At 46.7% G+C, this 19643-nt stretch overlaps 1 protein-coding gene, 1 long non-coding RNA gene and 1 pseudogene across 3 annotated transcripts in view, besides 7 other annotated features; 1 reads left to right on the forward strand and 2 right to left on the reverse strand.

Moving 5' to 3' along the window:
* Positions 1–15258, reverse strand: part of PELP1 (proline, glutamate and leucine rich protein 1) — a 34364-nt gene extending 19106 nt beyond the window's left edge. For both annotated transcript variants that reach the window (NM_014389.3, NM_001278241.2), the window contains exons 1-3: positions 14984–15258; positions 2499–2563; positions 2009–2114 (exon numbers count right to left, since the gene is read on the reverse strand). In NM_014389.3, the coding sequence (NP_055204.4) occupies positions 2009–2114; positions 2499–2563; positions 14984–15232 (420 nt within the window). In that variant the 5' untranslated portion in view covers positions 15233–15258. The remainder of the gene's footprint in view (positions 1–2008; positions 2115–2498; positions 2564–14983) is intronic.
* Positions 1608–1777: an enhancer, noted in NCBI's record as "experimental_47205 CRE fragment used in MPRA reporter constructs". NCBI's record gives its function as "activates a minimal promoter by MPRAs in K562 erythroleukemia cells, with activity observed for the non-introgressed 17:4593867 variant allele {active_cell/tissue: K562}" and the evidence as "EXISTENCE:reporter gene assay evidence [ECO:0000049][PMID:34662402]".
* Positions 3229–3398: an enhancer, noted in NCBI's record as "experimental_47206 CRE fragment used in MPRA reporter constructs". NCBI's record gives its function as "activates a minimal promoter by MPRAs in K562 erythroleukemia cells, with activity observed for the non-introgressed 17:4595488 variant allele {active_cell/tissue: K562}" and the evidence as "EXISTENCE:reporter gene assay evidence [ECO:0000049][PMID:34662402]".
* Positions 4420–4589: an enhancer, noted in NCBI's record as "experimental_47207 CRE fragment used in MPRA reporter constructs". NCBI's record gives its function as "activates a minimal promoter by MPRAs in K562 erythroleukemia cells, with activity observed for both the introgressed and non-introgressed 17:4596679 variant alleles {active_cell/tissue: K562}" and the evidence as "EXISTENCE:reporter gene assay evidence [ECO:0000049][PMID:34662402]".
* Positions 6334–6503: an enhancer, noted in NCBI's record as "experimental_47209 CRE fragment used in MPRA reporter constructs". NCBI's record gives its function as "activates a minimal promoter by MPRAs in K562 erythroleukemia cells, with activity observed for both the introgressed and non-introgressed 17:4598593 variant alleles {active_cell/tissue: K562}" and the evidence as "EXISTENCE:reporter gene assay evidence [ECO:0000049][PMID:34662402]".
* Positions 7697–7766: an enhancer, noted in NCBI's record as "active region_11544". NCBI's record gives its function as "activates an Ori minimal core promoter by ATAC-STARR-seq in GM12878 lymphoblastoid cells {active_cell/tissue: GM12878}" and the evidence as "EXISTENCE:reporter gene assay evidence [ECO:0000049][PMID:35858748]".
* Positions 8396–8565: an enhancer, noted in NCBI's record as "experimental_47211 CRE fragment used in MPRA reporter constructs". NCBI's record gives its function as "activates a minimal promoter by MPRAs in K562 erythroleukemia cells, with activity observed for the introgressed 17:4600655 variant allele {active_cell/tissue: K562}" and the evidence as "EXISTENCE:reporter gene assay evidence [ECO:0000049][PMID:34662402]".
* Positions 9474–9643: an enhancer, noted in NCBI's record as "experimental_47214 CRE fragment used in MPRA reporter constructs". NCBI's record gives its function as "activates a minimal promoter by MPRAs in K562 erythroleukemia cells, with activity observed for the non-introgressed 17:4601733 variant allele {active_cell/tissue: K562}" and the evidence as "EXISTENCE:reporter gene assay evidence [ECO:0000049][PMID:34662402]".
* Positions 15259–15350: 92 nt separating the features above from the next.
* Positions 15351–16650, forward strand: PELP1-DT (PELP1 divergent transcript). Its single transcript, NR_103482.1, has 2 exons — positions 15351–15491; positions 16320–16650. It is a non-coding gene; the product is annotated as a PELP1 divergent transcript (long non-coding RNA).
* RPS12P29 (ribosomal protein S12 pseudogene 29) lies at positions 15920–16420 on the reverse strand (annotated as a pseudogene).
* Positions 16651–19643: the final 2993 nt, after the last annotated feature.

Below are 19643 nucleotides of genomic sequence, written 5' to 3' on the forward strand. Positions count from 1 at the left end.
ATAAAGCCAAAGCAAGGCTAAGCAAAAAGAACAAATCTGGGCGCATCACATTACCTGACTTCAAAATATACTACAAGGCTACAGTTACCAAAACAGCATGATACTGATATAAAAATAGGCACATAGACCAATGGAACAGAAGGGAGAACCCAGATATAAAGCCAAATACTTACACCCAACTGATCTTCAACAAAGCAAACAAAAACAAGTGGGGAAAGGACACCCTTTTCAACAAATGGTTCTGGGATAATTGGCAAGCCACATGTAGAAGAATGAAACTGGATCACTCTCACCTTACACAAAAATCAGCTCAAGATGGATCAAGGACTTAAATCTAAGACCTGAAACCATAACAATTCTAGAAGATAACATCAGAAAAACCCTTCTAGACATTGGCTTAGGCAAAGAGTTCATGACCAAGAATCCAAAAGCAACAAAAACAAAGATAAATAGATGGGACTTAACTAAAAAGCCTCTGCACAGCAAAACAAATAATCAGTAAACAACCCACAAAGCGGGAGAAAATCTTCACAAACTATGCATCTGACAAAGAACTAACATCCAGAATTTACAAAGAATTCAAACAAATCAGCCAGAAAAAAACAAATAATCACATCAAAAAGTGAGCTAAGGACATGAACAGGCAATTCTCAAAAGAAGATATACAAATGGCCAACAAACATGAAACATCACTACCATTTGATCCAGCAATCCCACTACTGGACATCTACCAGAGGAAAAGAAGCCATTATATGAGAAAGACCCTTGCGCACAATATTTTATAGCAGCACAATTCACAATTGCAAAAATGTGGAACCAGCCTAAATACCCATCAACCAGCAAGTGGATAAAGAAAATGTGGTGTGGGCCAGGAGTGGCGGCTCATGCCTGTAATCCCAGCACTTTGGGAGGCCAAGGCAGGTGGATCACGAGGTCAGGAGTTTGAGACCAGCCTAGCCAACATGGTGAAACCCCATCTCTACTAAAATGTAAAAAATTAGCTAGGAATGGTGGCGCACGCTTGTAATCCCAGCTACTCAGGAGGCTGAGGCAAGAGAATTGCTTGAACCCGGGAGGCAGAGGTTGCAGTGAGCTGAGAGCGCGCCACTGCACTCCAGCCTGGGCGACAGAGCAAAACTCTGTCGAGAGAGAGACAGAGACAGAGAGAGAGAGAGAAAATGTGGTGTATATATACCATGGAATACTACTCAGCCATAAAAAGGAACAAAATAATGGCATTCGCAGCAACCTGGATGGCGTTGGTGACCATTAATCTAAGTGAAGTAACTCAAGAATGAAAAACCAAACATCGTATGTTCTCACTTACAACTGGGAGTTAAGCTATGAGGACGCAAAGGCATAAAAATGATATAATGAACTCTGAGGACTCGGGCGGAAATGTGGGAGATGGGTGAGGGATAAAAAACTACATATTGAGTACAACGTACACTGCTCGGGTGATGGGTGCACCAACATCTCAGAAATTACCACTAAAGAAATTATCCATGTAACCAAACACCACCTGTTCCCCAAAACTACTGAAATAAAAATATATATATAGGCTGGGCACAGTGCCTCACACCTGTAATCCCAGCACTTTGGGAGGCTGAGGCAGGCGGATCACTTGAAGTCAGGCATTTGAGACCAGCCTGGCCAACATGTTAAAACCTCGTCTCTACTAAAAATACAAAAATTAGCCAGGCGTGGTGGCAGAGGCCTGTAATCCCAGCTACTCAGGAGGCTGAGGCAGGAGAATCATTCGAACCCAAGAGGCAGAGGATGCAGTGAGCCAAGATCATGCCACTGCCCTCCAGCCTGAGTGACAAAGTGAGACTCCATCTCAAAAAAAAAGTTTCTATTTGAAGCTTATCCTCTCTGCTATCAGGGAATTGTTTCCAATTATTCTGTCCCCAGAACTACATGTCCAAGTTGAAAAGAACATGCCACATCCAAGATGGGGAATAAGATGGGGGAGGAGGAGGAAGTAGGGCAGCAGCTGAAACCTCACCTGTAACACCTGCTGAATGCTCCGAAGCCAAGACACACAGTGCTGCTGGAATAGCTCTGTGGGGCTCTCCCCTACCAGCAGGGACAGCAGACACAGGCCCTCAAACCTTCAAAGAAAGAAGAGAGTCATGTTAAGTGGGCGGAGGCTAGACTTCAGAGAAAGTGACTGCTCTTTTATTCTCACTAGGCTACAGCAAGACTTCATCCCCAGATCCACTGTGGTTTCCAACTCCTGAAATACTTGGAATGAGGTGGAAGAAGCAAAGAAAGAAGGGAGCAGAGGTAATCCCAGGGTGGAATAGGACATCTGGGAGCTGGAAAAGGTAGGGTTCAAATCAAGTGAGCTCACAAAAGGAATGTAACTCTCCACACTCTTGGGAATAGAGAGAGGTCTTGAATCCTGGGGACGGTGACAATGAAAGCAAAGATGTACATATGCCCACTTCCTAAGGGAACACGCCCCTGGAGAAAAAAAAGGGCCAAAGACTTACCGAGTTTTGATGGAACTGAGACGTGCATTACTGAGACTCACCAATGCCCCAAGAGCTGAAAGGTTCTGGAGGAAAGAAAACAGGGAAGCGAGTCACAAACGGGATGTTAAAAATGCAGAAGATTCTTCAAGCCCTTCTCTGTCCCAGCACCTATGAAGCCTTTCTGAAGTCACATCTCCTCTGAGGCCAAAAGGCCATCCCACTAGAAGCCTTGAGCTTTTCCCCTTTTTTCCTGTGGGAAAGGCTGTTTCTCGGCCTTTCCTCAAGTTATATTTTGCCTGATCCTTCCCTCCATGCCCCACCCAAGTAGTGCCAAACACAGGACAGCCCAACTAATCCCACTACCAGACTTCAAAGATGGGTCTGCTTCACCTCTATATGTCTGGGCAGCACCTAATAGGAGACATCCATAAATGCTTGCTGAATGGACACTGAACTCATCCATTATCCTTCCTTCACCCTCAAACAAATCCTCCTCCCCCTATTCCTGGCTTCCTTACAGCTGTAAAAATGCCAACACAGACCGAGTCAACAAGAATCCTCCTTCCAGTTCTCCCCTTCTCTCACATTCTGGAAGCCCACGAAAGATGTTTCCTCATCAGCCCCCCAGGTAACCTCTCCATGCCCCAAATGGCCAGCCTCCTCTCACGGCACCCGCGTCTCCCTAACGGCGTGCATCGTTCCTTCTTCCAACACATACACTATGCATGAGGTTACGTGAAGGAATACAGAGCTGAATAAAATTAATAAGGTCTCTCCCTTTTGTGGAGGGAAATATTTATTCGTTAAATAAATATTTACTTGACATGGCCGGGCGCAGTGGCTCACGCCTGTAATCCCAGCACTTTGGGAGGCCAAAGCAGGCGGATCACGAGGTCAGGAGATCGAGACCATCCTGGCTAACATGGTGAAACCCCGTCTCTACTAAAAATACAAAAAATTAGCCGGGCATGGTGGCGGGCACCTGTAGTCCCAGCTACTCGGGAGGCTGAGGCAGGAGAATGGCGTGAACCCAGGAGACGGAGTTTGCAGTGAGCCGAGATCATGCCACTGCACTCCAGCCTGGGCAACAGAGCGAGACTCTGTCTCAAAAAAAAAAAAAGAAAATATTTACTTGATATATACTTCATGTGAGACCTTATTTTAGGTGCCAGGTACTTATTTTCTAGTTAAGAGGAGACAGAAAATAAACAACTGACAAAGTAAATACATAGTATATCAGAGGGTGCTAAGAACTCCAAGGAAAAATAAAGCAGAGTAAGGAAGGAAAGGAGTGCCCAGAGTAGGCAAAGGGGACAGGATTTTATTTAGGAGAGTAGATACAAAAAGCATCTCCAAAAAGGCCATTTAGGCCGGGCGTGGTAGCTCACGCCTGTAATCCCAGCACTTTGGGATGCCGAGGCAGGTGGGTCACCTGAGGTCAGGAGTTCGAGACCAGCCTGGCCAACATGGTGAAACCCCGTCTCTACTAAAAATAGAAAAATTAGCTAGTTATGGTGACACGCGCCTGTCATCCCAGCTACTCGGGAGGCTGAGGCAGGAGACTCGCTTGAACCCAGGAGGCAGAGGTTGCAGTGAGCTGAGATCACACCATTGCACTCCAGCCTGGGCAACAAGAGCAAAACTCCATCTCAAAAAAAGAAAAAGCCATTTAGCAGAGACCTAAAGGAAAGTGAGAACAAGATGTATTGATACTCTCAAATATTTACCACAAATATAAAATGGCGCAGCCACTCTGGAAAGCAATCTGGCAGTTCCTCAAAAAGTTATACATAGAGTGAACACATGACCCAGCCATTCCACCCTACGTATATACCCAAGAGAAATGAAAACCTACATCCTCACAACAACTTGTACATGGACGTTCACAGCAGCATCATTCATAATAACCAAAATGGGAAAACAACCCAAACGTCCACCCACTGGTGAACAGATCAAATATAGTGCAGCAGCGCCCCCTTATCTGCAGGGGGTGCTTCCAAAACCCCAGGCAGGTGCCTGAAACCTCAGAAACTTCGGATACTACCAAACCCTACATAAACTGTTTTTTTCCTATACATACAAGCCTATGAAAGATTTTATCAGTTAGGCACAGTAAGAGATTAACAACCACTAATAATACAGTACAGCAACTATAATAATATGCCAGCATCTCTACTCTTACGCTTTGGGCCATTATGAAGTAAAATAAAGGTGACTTGAACACGAGCACTGCAATACCGCCACAGTGGATCTGATCACCGAGATGGTTACAAGATGACCCTCAGGCAGGGAGCATGTGCAACATGGATACACTGGACAAAAGGATGATTCATGTCCGATTCACGTCCCAGGTAGGATGAAGCAGAACTCCTCGAGAGTCCATCACGCTGCTCAGAATGGCACGTAATTTAAAACTTATGAATTACTTATTTCTGGAATTTTCCACCTAATATTTTCAGACCACGGTTGACCACAGGTAAGTAAAACCATGGAAAGGGAAAGCACAGATAAGAGGGGACTATTGCATAAAAGGCCATAAATAGGAATGAAGTTTTAGCCGGGCACAATGGCACCCGCCTGTAGTCCCAGCTACTTGGGAGGCTGAGGCATAAGAATCACTTGACTAATCCTGAGAGTTTGAATCCAGCCTAGGCAACACAAGACCCAACACAGCAAAACAGAAAAGAGTAATAAAGTCTTGACACATGGATGAACCTTGAAAACTGACTGCTAAGTGAAAGAAGCCAAACCCAAAGGCTACATATTATACAATTCATTTCTATCAAATGGCCAGAATAGGCAAATCTCTAAAGAAAAAAAGTAGATTACTGTTTGCCTAAAGCTGGAGGCAGCCAGGGAGGGCTTGGTGGGCAATGGGAATGACTGTAAGTGGGTACAGAATTTCTTTATGGAGTGATGAAAATGTTCCAAAACTGAGCACAGCAATGACCGCACAACTCTGCAAATATACTAAATCCACGGAATTGTATACTCTAAGTGAGTGAACTGTGGCCGGGCGCAGTGGCTCATGCCTATAATCCCAGTACTTTGGGAGGCCAAGGTGGGCAGACCACCTGAGGTCAGGGGTTTGAGACCAGCCTGGCCAACATGGTGAAACGCCATCTCTACCAAAAATACAAAAAAAAAAAAATCAGCCAGGCGTGGTGGCAGGCGCCTGTAATCCCAGCTACTCCAAAGGCTGAGGCAGGAGAACCGCTTGAGAACGGGAGGCGGAGGTCGCAATGAGCCAAGATCGTGACACTGCACTCCAGCCTGGGTGACAGAATGAGACTCCACCTCAAAAAAAATAAAATAAAATAAAAATAAAATGGGCCGGGCGCGGTGGCTTACGCCTGTAATGCCAGCACTTTGGGGGGCCGAGGCAGGTGGATCATGAGGTCAGGAGTTCAAGACCAGCCTGGCCAACATGGTGAAACCCCGGCTCTACTAAAAATACAAAAATTAGCCAGGCGTGGTGGTGGGCGCCTGTAATCCCAGCTACTCGGGAGGCTAAGGAAGGAGAATCGCTTGAACCTGAGAGAATCGCTTGAACCCGGGAGAATCGCTTGAACCCGGGAGAATCGCTTGAACCCAGGATGCAGAAATTGCAGTTTGCCAAGATTGCACCACTGTACTCCAGCCTGGGTGACAATGTGAGACTCCATTTCGAAAAAAATAAAAGGCCAGGCACCGTGGCTCATGCCTGTAATTCCAGCACTTTGGGCAGCCGAAGCGGGTGGATCACGAGGTCAGGAGTTTGAGACCAGCCTGGCCAACATGATGAAAACCCGTCTCTACTGAAAAATACAAAAATTAGCCGGACATGGTGGCGGGCGCCCGTAATCCCAACTACTAGGGAGGCTGAGGCAGGAGAATCGCTTGAACCCGGGAGGCAGAGGTCGCAGTGAGCCGAGATCACGCCACTGCACTCCAGCCTCGGCAACAGAGTGAGACTCCGTCTGGAAAAAATAAATAAATAAAATGGCTAAATTGTATGGTTTGTGAATTATTTCTCAATAAAGCTGTTTTGGCCAGGCACGGTGGCCTATAATCCCAAAATTCTGGGAAACCAAGGCAGGCGAATCACTTGAGGCCAGGAGTTCCATACCAGCCTGGGCAACACAGAGAGACACCATCTCTACAAAAATTTTTAAAAATTAGCCAGGTGCAATGGCATGCACCTGCAGTCCCAGCTACTCGGGAGGCTGAGGCAGAAGGATCGCTTGAATCCAGGCGTTCAAGGCTGCAGTGAGCTATGAACACACTACTATACTCCAGCCTGGGCAAAAGAGTGAGACCCTCTCTCTTAAAAAAAAAAAAAAAAAAAAAAAAAATCTGGCAGGGGGCAGTGATTCACGCCTGTAATCCCAGCACTTGGGGAGGCCAAGGTGGGCAGATCATTTGAGGTTAGGAGTTTGAGAACAGCCTTGCCAACGTGGCGAAACTAAACATCTAAAAATCTACTAAAAATACAAAAATTAGCCAGACGTGGTGGTGTGGTTTCACCATATTGGTCAGGCTGGTCTCCAACTCCTGACCTCAGGTGATCCGCCCACCTTGGCCTCCGAAAGTGCTGGGATTACAGGAGTGAACCACCATGAACCCCCGCAGTAAAGCTGTTTTTATAAAAAGGCATACTGATAACCATAAAAAAAAGAGTGTTCCAGGAAAAGAAAAAAAAAAAAAACAGGCTGGGCAAGGGGCTCATGACTGTAATCCCAACACTGGGAGGCCAAGGCAGGAGGATGGCTTGAGCCCAGGAGGTCAAGATCAGCCTGTGCAACCGAGGGAGACCCCCATTCTCCACAAAGAATTTTTAAAAATTAGCCGAACATGGTGGAGGGCACCTGTGGTCACAGCTACTTGGGAGGCTAAGGTGGGAGGGCTGCTTGACCCCGGGAGGTCAAGACTGCAGTGAGCCATGATCGCCACCACTACACTCCAGCCTGAACAGCAAAGCAACATCCTGTCTCAAAAAAGAAAAATAAAAAGAGCGAAGACTATGAGATGAGAGCATACTTCGTTATTTCCAAAGAACAACAAGGAGACAAATTGTTGATGGAGAAAAGTGAGCAAGGTGGAGAGGAGTAACCAATGATGAAGGTTAAGGGAGTGGGACCAGACTGTGCAGAGACATATAGGTGATTACCGACTTTCACCCTGAGTAAGATAAAAGCCACGAGGGGGAGAGAGAAATTGCGCACAGGAGTGACAATATCTGACTTCTGGTTTGCTTTTTGTTTTGCTTTGTTTTTAATCAACAGCATTTGTGTTGTCTTGTTGAGAAGGCAGAAGCAAACAGATGAGGTAGAAGGTTACTGTAATATTCCAGACAAATGATGATGCAGCTTGAAGAATGTGGTAACTGTGGCGATACAAAGCAGTCAAAATCAGGAAGTACTGTGAAGGTAGAGCCAACGGGATGTGCCGTCAAACTGGATATGGGTGGAAAATAAAAAGAAGGGTCCAAGATAATGCCAAGGTTTTTTGCTGAACAACTAGAAAGATGAAGCTGCCATTCACCGAGAAGGGAACTAATGCAGGAGGAGCAGGTTTTGGGGTGACAATAGGGAGCTCAGTTTCAGATCTGTTCAATCTGTGATGTGTATTTAACATGAAAACGGAGATGCCAAATAGGCACCGGCTAGACAAGTGTGAAGAGAACTTCTGGCTGGAGATGTAAACTCAAGAGGTGTGGGCCTTGAGACTGGATCAGTTCACCAAGGGAATAAGAGTAAAGAGAAGAGAAACAGTGCAAGGCCTGGGTTGTAGGCACTCAAACCTTCAGAGGTCACAGAGGTGAGGAGGGATCAGTCTTTACTGGAAAGGAGTAACCAGTGTGATAACAGGAGAATCGAGAGGAGAGGAGAGGGGCTGGGAGGGTGACTAACGCCTATAATCCCAGTACTTTAGGAGGCTAAAGTGGGAAGACTGCTTGAGCTCAAGAGTTCAAGACCAGCCTCAGCAACATAGCGAGACCTTGTTTCTACTAAAAATCAAACAGATTAGCTGGGTGTGGGGGCACACACCTGTGGTCCCAGCTACCCAGAAGGCTGAGCAGGGCGGACTGCCTCAGCCTGGAAGATCAAGGATGCAGTAAGCTATGATCGCGCCACTGCACTCCAGCCTGGGCAACACAGCGAGACCCTGTCTCAATGAAACAAACAAACAAAAACAAAAAGACAGGGGAGAGATATCCCAGAAGTCAAGTGAAGACAGTTTTTTAAATAGGAAAGTATAATTAACTGTATCAAATGGTAGCGATAAGTCAAATATGATGACCCAAATTGACCTTTGAACTTAATGTCTTGATGGACACCAGTGATCTTCAAGAGTTACCATTTCACCCAGCAAAGGGTTGTTTCGGCAGCATTTAGGCTAAAAGCCTGAATGTAATGAGTTCAACGGAACAACCATCATAGTAATAATTCATTCAGGGAAGAACCTTTAATAGATGTTAAAATGAGTGGGTGAAAGGTTGACAAGACCTAAGACATTCACATTATCTCCCCCCAAGACACTTAACTACAAATGGAAAAAAAAAAAATCATACCTTTATAACAGTGAAGAAATCTGGCAGAGACCTGCTTAACCTAGAATACGTGCTCCTGATGTGATGCACCAAGAATGACACATCATTTCTGCAAGGTTTTTTTTTTTTTTTTTTGTAGAGATAGGGTCTTGCCATGTTGCCCAAGCTAGTCTTGAACTCCTGCACTCAGTGATCCTCCCACTTCGGCCTCCCACTAAGCCTCTGAATCTCATGCTGGGATAACAGGCATGAGCCACTGCACCTGGACGACTTCTGCAGTATTCTTGCTGAAAACGCACAAATCTCCAGTTTAATTTGTCTGCTGTTTCCTCATGATTAGATCCTAACCTGAGGGGCATCCTACGAAATAACTATTCTGTACTCTTTAAAAATATCAAGATCATAAGACAAAGGCTGAAGAACTATTTCAGATTAAAGAATACTAAAGAGACATTATAACTAAAAGCAAGCTGGGCGCGGTGGCTCACGCCAGCACTTCGGGAGGACAACGCGGGTGGATGATCTGAGGTCAGGAGTTCGAGACCAGCCTGGCCAACATGGCGAAACCCCATCGCTACTAAAAAAAAAAAAAGAAAAAAAATTAGCCAGGCATGGTAGCAGGCGCTTGTAATCCCAGCTACTTGGGAGGCTGAGGCAGGAGAATCGCTTAAACCCAGGGGGCGGAGGTTCCAGTGAGCCAAGATCATGCCACGGCACTCCAGCCTAGGCAACAGACTGAGATTGTCTCAAAAAAAAAAAAACAAGGCAAAACAAACAACAACAAAAAAAACAACTAAATGCAACATGTGATCCTGCATTAAATCCTGGACTAGAAATGTTGTTGTTGTTGTTGTTGTTATAATGGATGCCTTTAGGAGAACTGATGGCAAAACTTAAAAAAGATCTGTAGGTTAAATAATTTATTGTACCAATATTAATTCTCTGATCATGATGATAGAGTATGATTATGTAAGAGAATGTCCTTGTTTTTAAGGAAATACACACTAAAATATGTCAAAGTAAAAGGACATATCTGCAACTTACTCCTAAATGGACCCAGAAAAAATATCTGAAAGAATTCCTGTATCCTCTTCACCCAGAATTCTCCAGTTTTCAAATGTGCATTTATGTTATTCTCAGAATGATAGTTTAGGAGATCTGTCATTATCAGAATAACATAAATATGCATTTAAAAACTGAAGAATCCAGCCAGGTGCGGTGGCTCAGGCCTGTAATCCCAGCACTTCGAGTGCCGAGGCGGGCGGATCACGAGGTCAGGAGATTGAGACCGTCCTGGCTAACACGGTGAAACCCCGTCTCCACTAAAAATACAAAAAAATAGCCGGGCATGGTGGTGGGCAACTGTAGTCCCAGCTACTTTGGGAGGCTGAGACAGGAGAATGACGTGAACCCGGGAGGCAGAGCTTGCAGTGAGCCAAAATCGCACCACTGCACTCCAGCCTGGGCAACAAAGCAAGACTCCATCTCAAAAAGAAAAAAAAAATGGAGAATCTAGGAGAAGGGTATATATTGAAATTCTTTCAAATATTGTTCCAACTTTTCTGTAAATTTTCAGTTATTTCAAAGTAACGCTAAAAGAAGAAGAAGGAGAGACAAAAAGTACAGATAACACTTTCAAGGAGTTTTTGCCATAAAAGGAAGTACACAAATGGCAAATGAGGCAGTAGCTAGAGGGTGATTTGTTTGTTTTTTGAGACAAAGTCTCCCTCTGTTGCCCAGGCCAGAGTTCGCAGGCGCAATCTCGGCTCACTGCAATGTCTGCCTCCCAGGCTCAAGCAATTCTCCTGCCTCAGTCTCCTGATTAGCTGGGATTACAGGCATGCGTCACCACGCCCAGCTAATTTTTGCATTTTTAGTAAAGATGAGGTTTCGCCATGTTGGTCAGGCTGGTCTCGAACTCCTGGCATCAAATGATCTACCCATCTCAGCCTCCCAAAGTGCTGGGATTACAGATGTGAGTCACTGCACCCAGCCCTAGAGGGTGATTTTTTTTTTTTTTTTTTTTTTTGAGACAGAGTTTCACTCTATCACCCAGGCTAGAGTGCAGAGGCGCGATCTCGGCTCACTGCAACCTCTGCCCCGAGTTCAAGCGATTCTCCTGCCTCAGCCTCCTGAATGGCTGGGATTACAGGATTACAGATGCCTGCCACTGCGCCTGGCTAATTTTTGTATTTTTAATACAGACGGGGTCACCATCTTGGCCAGGCTGGTCTTAAACTCCTGACCTTGTGATCCACCCACCTTGGCCTCCCAAAGTGCTGGGATTACAGGCGTGAGCCATCACGCCTGGCCGAGGATGAAGTTTTGAGCCTGTATGCTGATGAAAATGATCCAACAAAAAGAGAGGCCAGGTGCAGTGGCTCATCCCTGTAATCCCAACATTTTGGGAGGCTGAGGCAGGAAGATTTTTTTATTTAAGTAGGAGTACACTCTAAAATACGACAAAAAGTGGCCGGATGTGGTGGCTCATGCCTGTATTCTCAGCACTTTGGGAGGTCGAGTGGGGAGGATAACTTGAGGTCAGAAGTTCGAGACCAGCCTGACCAACATGGTGAAACTCCGTCTCTACTAAAAATACAAAATTAGCTGGGTATGGTGGCAGGTGCCTGTAATCCCAGCTACTCAGGAGGCTGAGGCCTACGTAGAAGACAGAACAAGACACTGTTTTTGTCCTTCAAAAGAATATACAGGATAAATGACATTTGGGATTTGCTTTAAAATGGTCCACCAAGCTGAGCACGGTGGTTCACCTCTGTAATCCCAGGATTTTGGGGGGCCAAGGCGGGAGTATCACTTGAGTTCAGGAGTTCAAGACCAGCCTGGACAACATATAAAGCCCCCATGTCTACAAAAAAAATTTTTAAATTAGCCAGGGGTGGTGGCACACCTGTAGTCCCAGCTACTCGGGAGGCTGAGGTGGAAGGATTACTTGAACCTGGGAGGTTGAGGCCAAGGCCGCAGTGAGCCATAATCTGGCCACTGCACTCCAGCCTGAGTTAGAGTAAGGCCCTATCTCAAAAAAAAAAAAAAGAAAAGAAAAGAAAAGAAAAAGAGAAAGAAAGAAAAAGCAAAGTTCCACTAAAAAAAAAAAAAAAAAAAAAAAGCCAAGCTATGGGAGGAATGAAATAACATTGGCAAACGTTCACTGTTAAATTTGAGTGATGGGGGCAGCATAGGGTGGGGTGGGGAAAATACTATTTATGTCTGAAATTTTATATAAGTTTTATTAATTACATACAAGAACAAATCAAAGACTTGCTGAATGTAGGGGAGAGAGGTTATAAGTATATGTGAAATAAATAAACAGACAGTAGGATAAAGAGCAGTCAATCATAGGTGGCCAAGAAATATATCCCAAAGGCAGTGACAAATAAGCAAAGAATTGAGAAGACTGGGAAGGAGGATGAGAGTTGGGGGGGTGGGGGCACTGCACAGGGAGGGATTCCAAGAGAAGAGTAAGTACAAAGCCTCTGAGGAAAGAACACCCAGAGGCTGAAGGATTTTTAAAAGCTGCAAACAGGATCAGAATTTTACTTTAGAAAGCTCACTCCAGCTACTGTGTGGGGAACGGATTACAGAGGGCAAGACTGAAGGTAAGGAGACCCGTTAGAAGATTGTTGCTATAATATACTCCAAGCTAGATATGGAGCACTGTGCTAGGATCATTCCATTTTGGAACTACTGAGCTTGCAGTACCTGCGGAAAAGCCATGTTGGTAGGTGGATGATCAAACAGTGGATCCCCCTTGCTCGCAAGCTCCAGGTCTATTGCTGACTTTCATTTCTCATCTTAACTAGACTAGAAATTCTCTGAGGGAAAGGACCATGTCTTATTTATCTACCTAGAGACGAGGAACAGTACGTAAAACATAACAGATACTCAATAAATGTTTGTTGAATGAAACCTTTGGGGAAGGAAAGGAAATCCTCCACATAATCCCAATTCAAAGGACACAAGTAGAAAAAAAATTCAAGGCAGGATGTATCTAAACAAGTAGCACAGGAAATATTAAAGGGCGGCCCTAGTTTCCCACATCACTCTTAGCTTCTTTACTCAAAATTCTACTAGACTTCAGACATGTAAGAAAAATAAGCAAGACGTTAAGTTCATGTAGTTGACTTTGAGGGAGGAGAGGAAGTCCTGAAAGAGATGATGAAAGAAATCACACATTTATAGGCGGGATAGGTAATATTTCACAAATACTTATAAAAAAAATTTCTGGGGGGCAAGGCATGGTGGCCCGTGCCTGTAATTCCAGCACTTTGGGAAGCCAAGGCAAGTGAATCGCCTGAACTCGGGACTTTGAGACCAGCCTGGGCAACATGGCAAAACCCCGTCTCTACCAAAAATACAAAAATTAGCCGGGCATGGTGGCGCATGCCTGTGGTCCCAGCTACTCTGGAGGCTGAGGTGGGAGGATCCCTTGAGGCTGGGAAATGGAGGTTGCAGTGAGCCAAGATCATGCCACTGCACTCCAACCTGGGTGACAGAGTAAGACCTTGTCTCAAAAATAATAATAATTCTGGGACTATTGTGAGATAAAGAAAACAGAAAAACCCCACTGTAATATAACTGACTGATGAAAACCACATAAATTAGAAGAGGGGAATTTAGAGACAAGAGAAAATACATAATCAGCTCCAGCCTCTGATATTGGGCTGAGATAGCAGAGATATAGTTTTGTCACCCTCAATTATGCAGAGTAATGTTAAAGACAAACAGATAGGGTTATCTGTGATAAATCTGGGGCTAAGGTTATTGACCCACCCAGCAAATTGTGACAACCATCTTCCTGGAAGGTAGCATAGAGCTAGGAAGGTCCCAGGAATGAAGGGTGGACACAGAAGATCTCGTGTTTATGGGTCTTGAAGGATGGGTAGAATTTGGGGGAGGTTTAGTGGGAGAGAAGGGAAGATAGGAGATTGTTATAAGGAGCAGCTATTATGGGCTAGAAATATGCCTTCTTAGAATCAGTGCCTTCACCCGGACAAGATGGTGGGGGTTCAAGCTAGAATGGGAGCAATGAGAAAGATGGAAAAGAGTGGACAGATCTGAAAACTACTCAAAGGATAAAATCAACAGGACTTGACAGATTGCTTATGGAGGTGTATGAAGAAGAGTTTAGAATTACTTGAGTGTCTAGCTTGCAGAACTGAATGGTTATCAGATTCCATTCTTATAGAAGTCCAAAGGCTCCTAACCCGGCCTAAAACGCTCTGCATGACCCGACCACTGCCTACCCATCTCACCAGTCTCATCTGTACCCACTCTCTTCCCCTCCACATCTGAGCCCCAGGAACGATGCCCTTCTTTCCAGTTCCTTCCTACCACAGGGTCTTCCCACATGAGCTCTCCTCTGACTGAACAGCCCCTCCCATATTTTTTCCCTACCCAACCCCTATTCATCCTTAGGGTCTCAGCTTAAACGCCGGTTTCTTTGGAAAAATCTCTGCCAGTCTTCAGATAAGGTTAGAGACCCCTGATATTCAATTCTCATCTTGTTTCGCAGCATTTTGTGTATCGCCACCACGTCTGTAACCGGAGCGCCTAGTACAGTATCTGACCCTCAATAAGAGCTCGGTAAATGTTTATTGTTGAATGCGTCATTCAGTCAGTCGAAACAATCCCCGAAACAGATATTGCCAGAGGAAAAAGAGACTTTTAGATTATACAACTAGTGAGTGACCGGGCCTGGAACCTAATCGATTCCTGTGTGCCGACCAATAGCCTAACAACAGAAAAATAAGGCCCATTTTTCCCCTGGAGAAACTCATGGCCGATAAAGGAGAAATACGTGCATCCCGTCCGGACTGATACCTGGATCCCCTTTCTGCCCGCAGCTCTCCTTCCTTCAACCTCCCTATCGCACTTGCACTGCACCGTAATCCCGGCGCACAGGTGCCGCGCCATCCTCCCCACAGGGCCGCGGGCACGCGGGCCACGGACTCACCTGGGCCCCGCCCACCGACCCATGCAGCCGCAATAGGCACATGAGCCCGGGCAAATGTGGGGCCGAGCGGTTTGGGGGATGCACCGGAGCAACGGCAGACCCCGTTCGAGGTTGCAGCAAACCAGAAACACTCTCCAGCAGCAGCAGGCGGAGCCGCGGGCCCGAGCTCACTGCCGAGAGACCCCCGGTCCCGCCAGGAACCCCAGCCGCGGAGCCCGCAGAGGGCCCACTCAGAACGGCTGCCGCCATCTTCCCCCGGGTTCCAGTGGTGGCGTGGCGCGATGACGCAAACACACCGCGACGGCCGCCTACTGGGGAGGGGGCGTGGGGAGGGGGCTGCGGTCTTGCGCACTGAGTGAAGGCAGGCTGGACTCGCGGGCTCAAGCTGGGAAGGAGCATGCGCGGAGAGAGCAGCCTGGGCGCCGAGGCAGCGGGGTGCTCGGTTCCCGGAGTGATGGCGGATGAGGCTGCCTGTGAGCGTGTCCGAGGCGGTCCTGTGATGTTAAAGGTACACGTGGTCCGGACAAAAGGCGCCAAAGTCGGAACGATTTCCATTTAGCGGACGGAGTCTTGGGACATCTTCGCTGTAGGAATCAATAACTCTCATTTTTTTTTTTTGAGACGGAGTCTCGCTCTGTGGCCCAGGCTGGAGTGCAGTGGCGCGATCTCGGCTCACCGCAACCTCCACCTTCCAGGTTCAAGCGATTTCCCTGCCTCAGCCTCCCGAGTAGATGGGATTACAGTCGCGCGCCACCACGCCCGGCTAATTTTTTTTGTATTTTTGTAGAGATGGGGTTTCACCATGTTGGCCAGGATGGTCTTGAACTCCTGACCTCAGGTGTTCCGCCCGCCTTGGCCTCCCAAAGTGCTGAGATTACAGGCATGAGCCACCGCACCCTGCCTAGGAATCAGTAACGTGTGTGTGTGTGTACGCGCGCCAAAGATTTATTTCTTCATTTCTTGCATTTCAAGTACTCTTCGATGTCATCCTTGGCCTGAGACTCCTTGCCATAGTCCTTAACTACTACACAACTGCAACCAACCACTTTACGGGGTTTCCCCTCTCTGTCGATTTTTACAGAGCCCTACCCATTCTCCTAGTTTCTTGTTGTCATCAACCTTAATTAGGTTGATTTGGTGTTCAGCACAAAGGCCTCCACCAACTTGACATACATAGTAGGCTCATCATAGTTGGATGCAAGCACACAAAGATGGGCTTGGCGTTTGTCTAAGGCTTTGGCAGCTTCGCGAATTCCACGTGCTAGGTCATGGTGGATGAGAGCGGTCTTCAGCACCTCTTGTGAAGCAGTATTAACATCCATTACCCCTCCAGCAGCAATGCCTTCCTCGGCCGTGGCGGTGGGTTACAAGTGAAGCTGAATCTTGAAGGTACCCAAGCCTCCGCCTCCGCGCAACTCGGCAGCGGCAGGGAAAGAGAAGGAATCAATAACTCTCTAGGTAACTTGAAATCACAGACATTTTTAACTACATTTGCAACTTCAGAAATGATACAAGACGTGCGCCTTGCAAAAGCCAATTCAAACAGTACAGAAAGGCATAAAGTAAAAAGAAAAACTGCTCCTCCCCCGCAAAGCCCTGCCCCAGTAGCGTGTATACTTTCCTAATATTAGTCTATGCACAAGCACATAAATGAATATTTTACAAGATTGGGGTCTGCGTGTGGCTTGTTTTCACTCATGGCCTTCTTTATGCTGTTTTTTAAACTGTGGTATGAATGAAATGGGTGCACCATGATTTAATAATTCTATTGCTGAATTAATGCTTAAAGGCTGCTCCAGCTTTTTGCTAATGCAAACTGTAGTGAACACGCTAATACCTCTATGTTTATGTTTGTGTACTTTTGTGATTGTTAGATTCAAATCCAAGAGTCATCATTTTTCTTTTTTTGAGGAGTCTCTCTGTCGCCCAGGCTAGAGTGCAATGGCACGATCTCGGCTCACTGCAACCTCCGCCTCCCAAGTTCAAGTGATTCTCCTACCTCAGCCTCCCAAGTAGCTGGAAGTACAGGCACCCACCACCATGCCCAGCTAATTTTTGTATTTTTAGTAGAGACGGGGCTTCACCATGTTGGCCAGGCTGGTCTCAAACTCCTGACCTCAAGTGATCTGCCGGCCTCAGCCTCCCAAAGTCCTGGGATTACAGGTGTGAGCCACCCCACCTGGCCCGTTTTTCCTCTTATTGCCTCCTATCCAATCCTTCAAGTCCTGGCATTCAAGGCCTCCAAAATACATTAACCCAATAGCGTTAATTTTTCTCCATCTCCACTGCCGCTCCGGTCCAAATTACCATTCACTCTCACCTAGTCTATTACAAAGCCTTCGTTGCTCTCTGCTTCCCTCTTAGCACCCTGTAGTCCCTTCACACAGCAACCAAAGTGGTCTTTTCAAATGTAAACAAGTTGTTGTCACTCCTAGCTTCAACCCCTCTGTGGCTTCCAAATGTGATGAGAATGAAATCCCATCTCGTCACTGAGGCCTAAAAGAATCCACCCAATCTGACTCATACCCACCTCCCTGACCTCAACACATACCACAAGTACCCTTTTCCTTCTCTCTTCCTATTCTTGAGCCACGCTAGCCTTCTATTTTCCAGCAAAGCCCATTCTCACATCCGAACCTTTGCACATGTTGCTGATTATGCTGGAGAAACTGTCCTTTGATTCTATGTAACTAACGCCATTTTGCCATCCTGAGACGACTTCTTTTTCGGTAGCTCCCACTCCAACCCCCATCAGCCTCCATCACATTTGCCTGTTTATAATTCATGTCATTACCAGAAATTTGCTTTCTTATTAACTATCTCTTGTCTAAAATACAAACTCCATGAAAGGGCTCCTGTCTCCTACACTATGCTATTCCTATCACCTAGAACAGTGCCTGGTACATAAAAGGTGCTGAAAAAATATTTCCCCAGGCTGGAGTGCAGTGGCATGATCACAGCTCACTGCAGCCTTGACCTCCCAGCTCAAACGATCCTCCCACCTCAGCCTCCCTAGTACATGAGACTCTAGGCACTAGCCACTATATTTGGCTCATTTTTCGTTTTTCGGAGGTTTTTTGTTTTCTTTTTTCCTCGAGATGGAGTTTCGCACTGTCACCCAGGCTGGAGTGCAGTGGCGCGATCTTGGCTCACTGCAAGCTCTGCCTCCCAGGTTCAGGCCATTCTCCTGCCTCAGCCTCCCAAGTAGCTGGGACTACAGGCGCCTGCCACCATGCCGGCTAATTTTTTGTACTTTTTTGTGGAGACAGGGTTTCACCACGTTAGCCAGGATGGTCTTGATCTCCTGACCTCGTGATCCGCCCACCTCAGCCTCCCAAAGTGCTGGGATTACAGGCGTGAGCCACCACGCGCGGCCCGTTTGTTTTTGAGACGAAGTTTCACTATTCTCACTCAGGCTGGAGTATAACGGCACGATCTCAGCTCACTGCAACCTCCGTCTCCCAGGTTCAAGTGATTCTTCTGGCTCAGCCTCACGAGTAGCTGGGATTATAGGCTAAATTTCACGATGTTAGCCAGACTGGTCTCGAACTCCTGACCTCAGGTGATCCACCCCCCTCGGCCTCCCAAAGTACTGGGATTACAGGCGTGAGCCACTGCACCCAACCCCCTCTGCTTTAAAAACCAGTACTGGTTCCACATGTCCTTCTGTGGGGCCCTCCATCTCACTCCATCTGCTATACAAAATCCTCCACAGCCTGTTCCAGACTTCCCCACCAACACTACGCAACAGGACGTGCCTTGTCTCTCTCTTTGAAATGCCCTTTCTCAACTTCTGCCCAGCCAGGCGCGGTGGCTCACACCTGCAATTCCAGCACTTTGGGAGGCTGAGGCAGGTGGAACACAAGGTCAGGCGTTCGAGACCAGCTTGGCCAACATGGTGAAACCCCGTCTCTATTAAAAATACAAAAAGTAGCCAGGCATTGCAGGTGTCTGTAATACCAGATACTCACGAGGCTGAGGCACAGAATTGCTTGAACCCAAGAGGCAGGGGTTTTGTTGAGCCGAGATCCCACCACTGCACTCCAGTCAGGGTGACAGAGTGAGACTCCATCTCCTAAAAAAGAAAAAAAAAAAGAGGCTGGGCGCAGTGGCTCACATCTATAATTCCAGCACTTTGGAAGGCGCAAGCAGGCGGATCATTTGAGGTCAGGAGTTCAAGAGCAACCCGGCCAACATATTGAAACCCCATCTCTACTAAAATATATATATATAAACTAGCGAGGCGTGGTAGTGGACACCTGTAATCCCAGCTACCCGGGAGACTGAGGCAGAACAGCTGGAACCCAGGAGATGGAAGTTGCAGTGAGCCGACACAACACCAGTGTCCAGAATTTGTAGGGGGTCTCACTGACTTTAAGAATGAAGCCATGGACCCTCACAGCAAGTGTTACAGTTCTTAAAGGCAGCATATCCGGAGTTTGTTCCTTCTGACGTTCGGATGTGTTCAGAGTTTCTTCCTTCTGGTGGGTTCGTGGTCTCGCTAGCTCAAGAGTGAAGCTGCAGGCCTTTGCGGTGTTACCCCCCTTAAGGCCGTGTCTCCGAAGTTATTCATTCTTCTTAGTGGGTTCGTGGTTTCACTGGCTTCAGGAGTGAACCTGCAGACCTTCCCAGCGAGTACTACAGCTCATAAAGGCAGTGT

This window comes from Homo sapiens, chromosome 17 (genome assembly GCF_000001405.40).
Source record: "Homo sapiens chromosome 17, GRCh38.p14 Primary Assembly".
Lineage (NCBI taxonomy): Eukaryota > Metazoa > Chordata > Mammalia > Primates > Hominidae > Homo > Homo sapiens.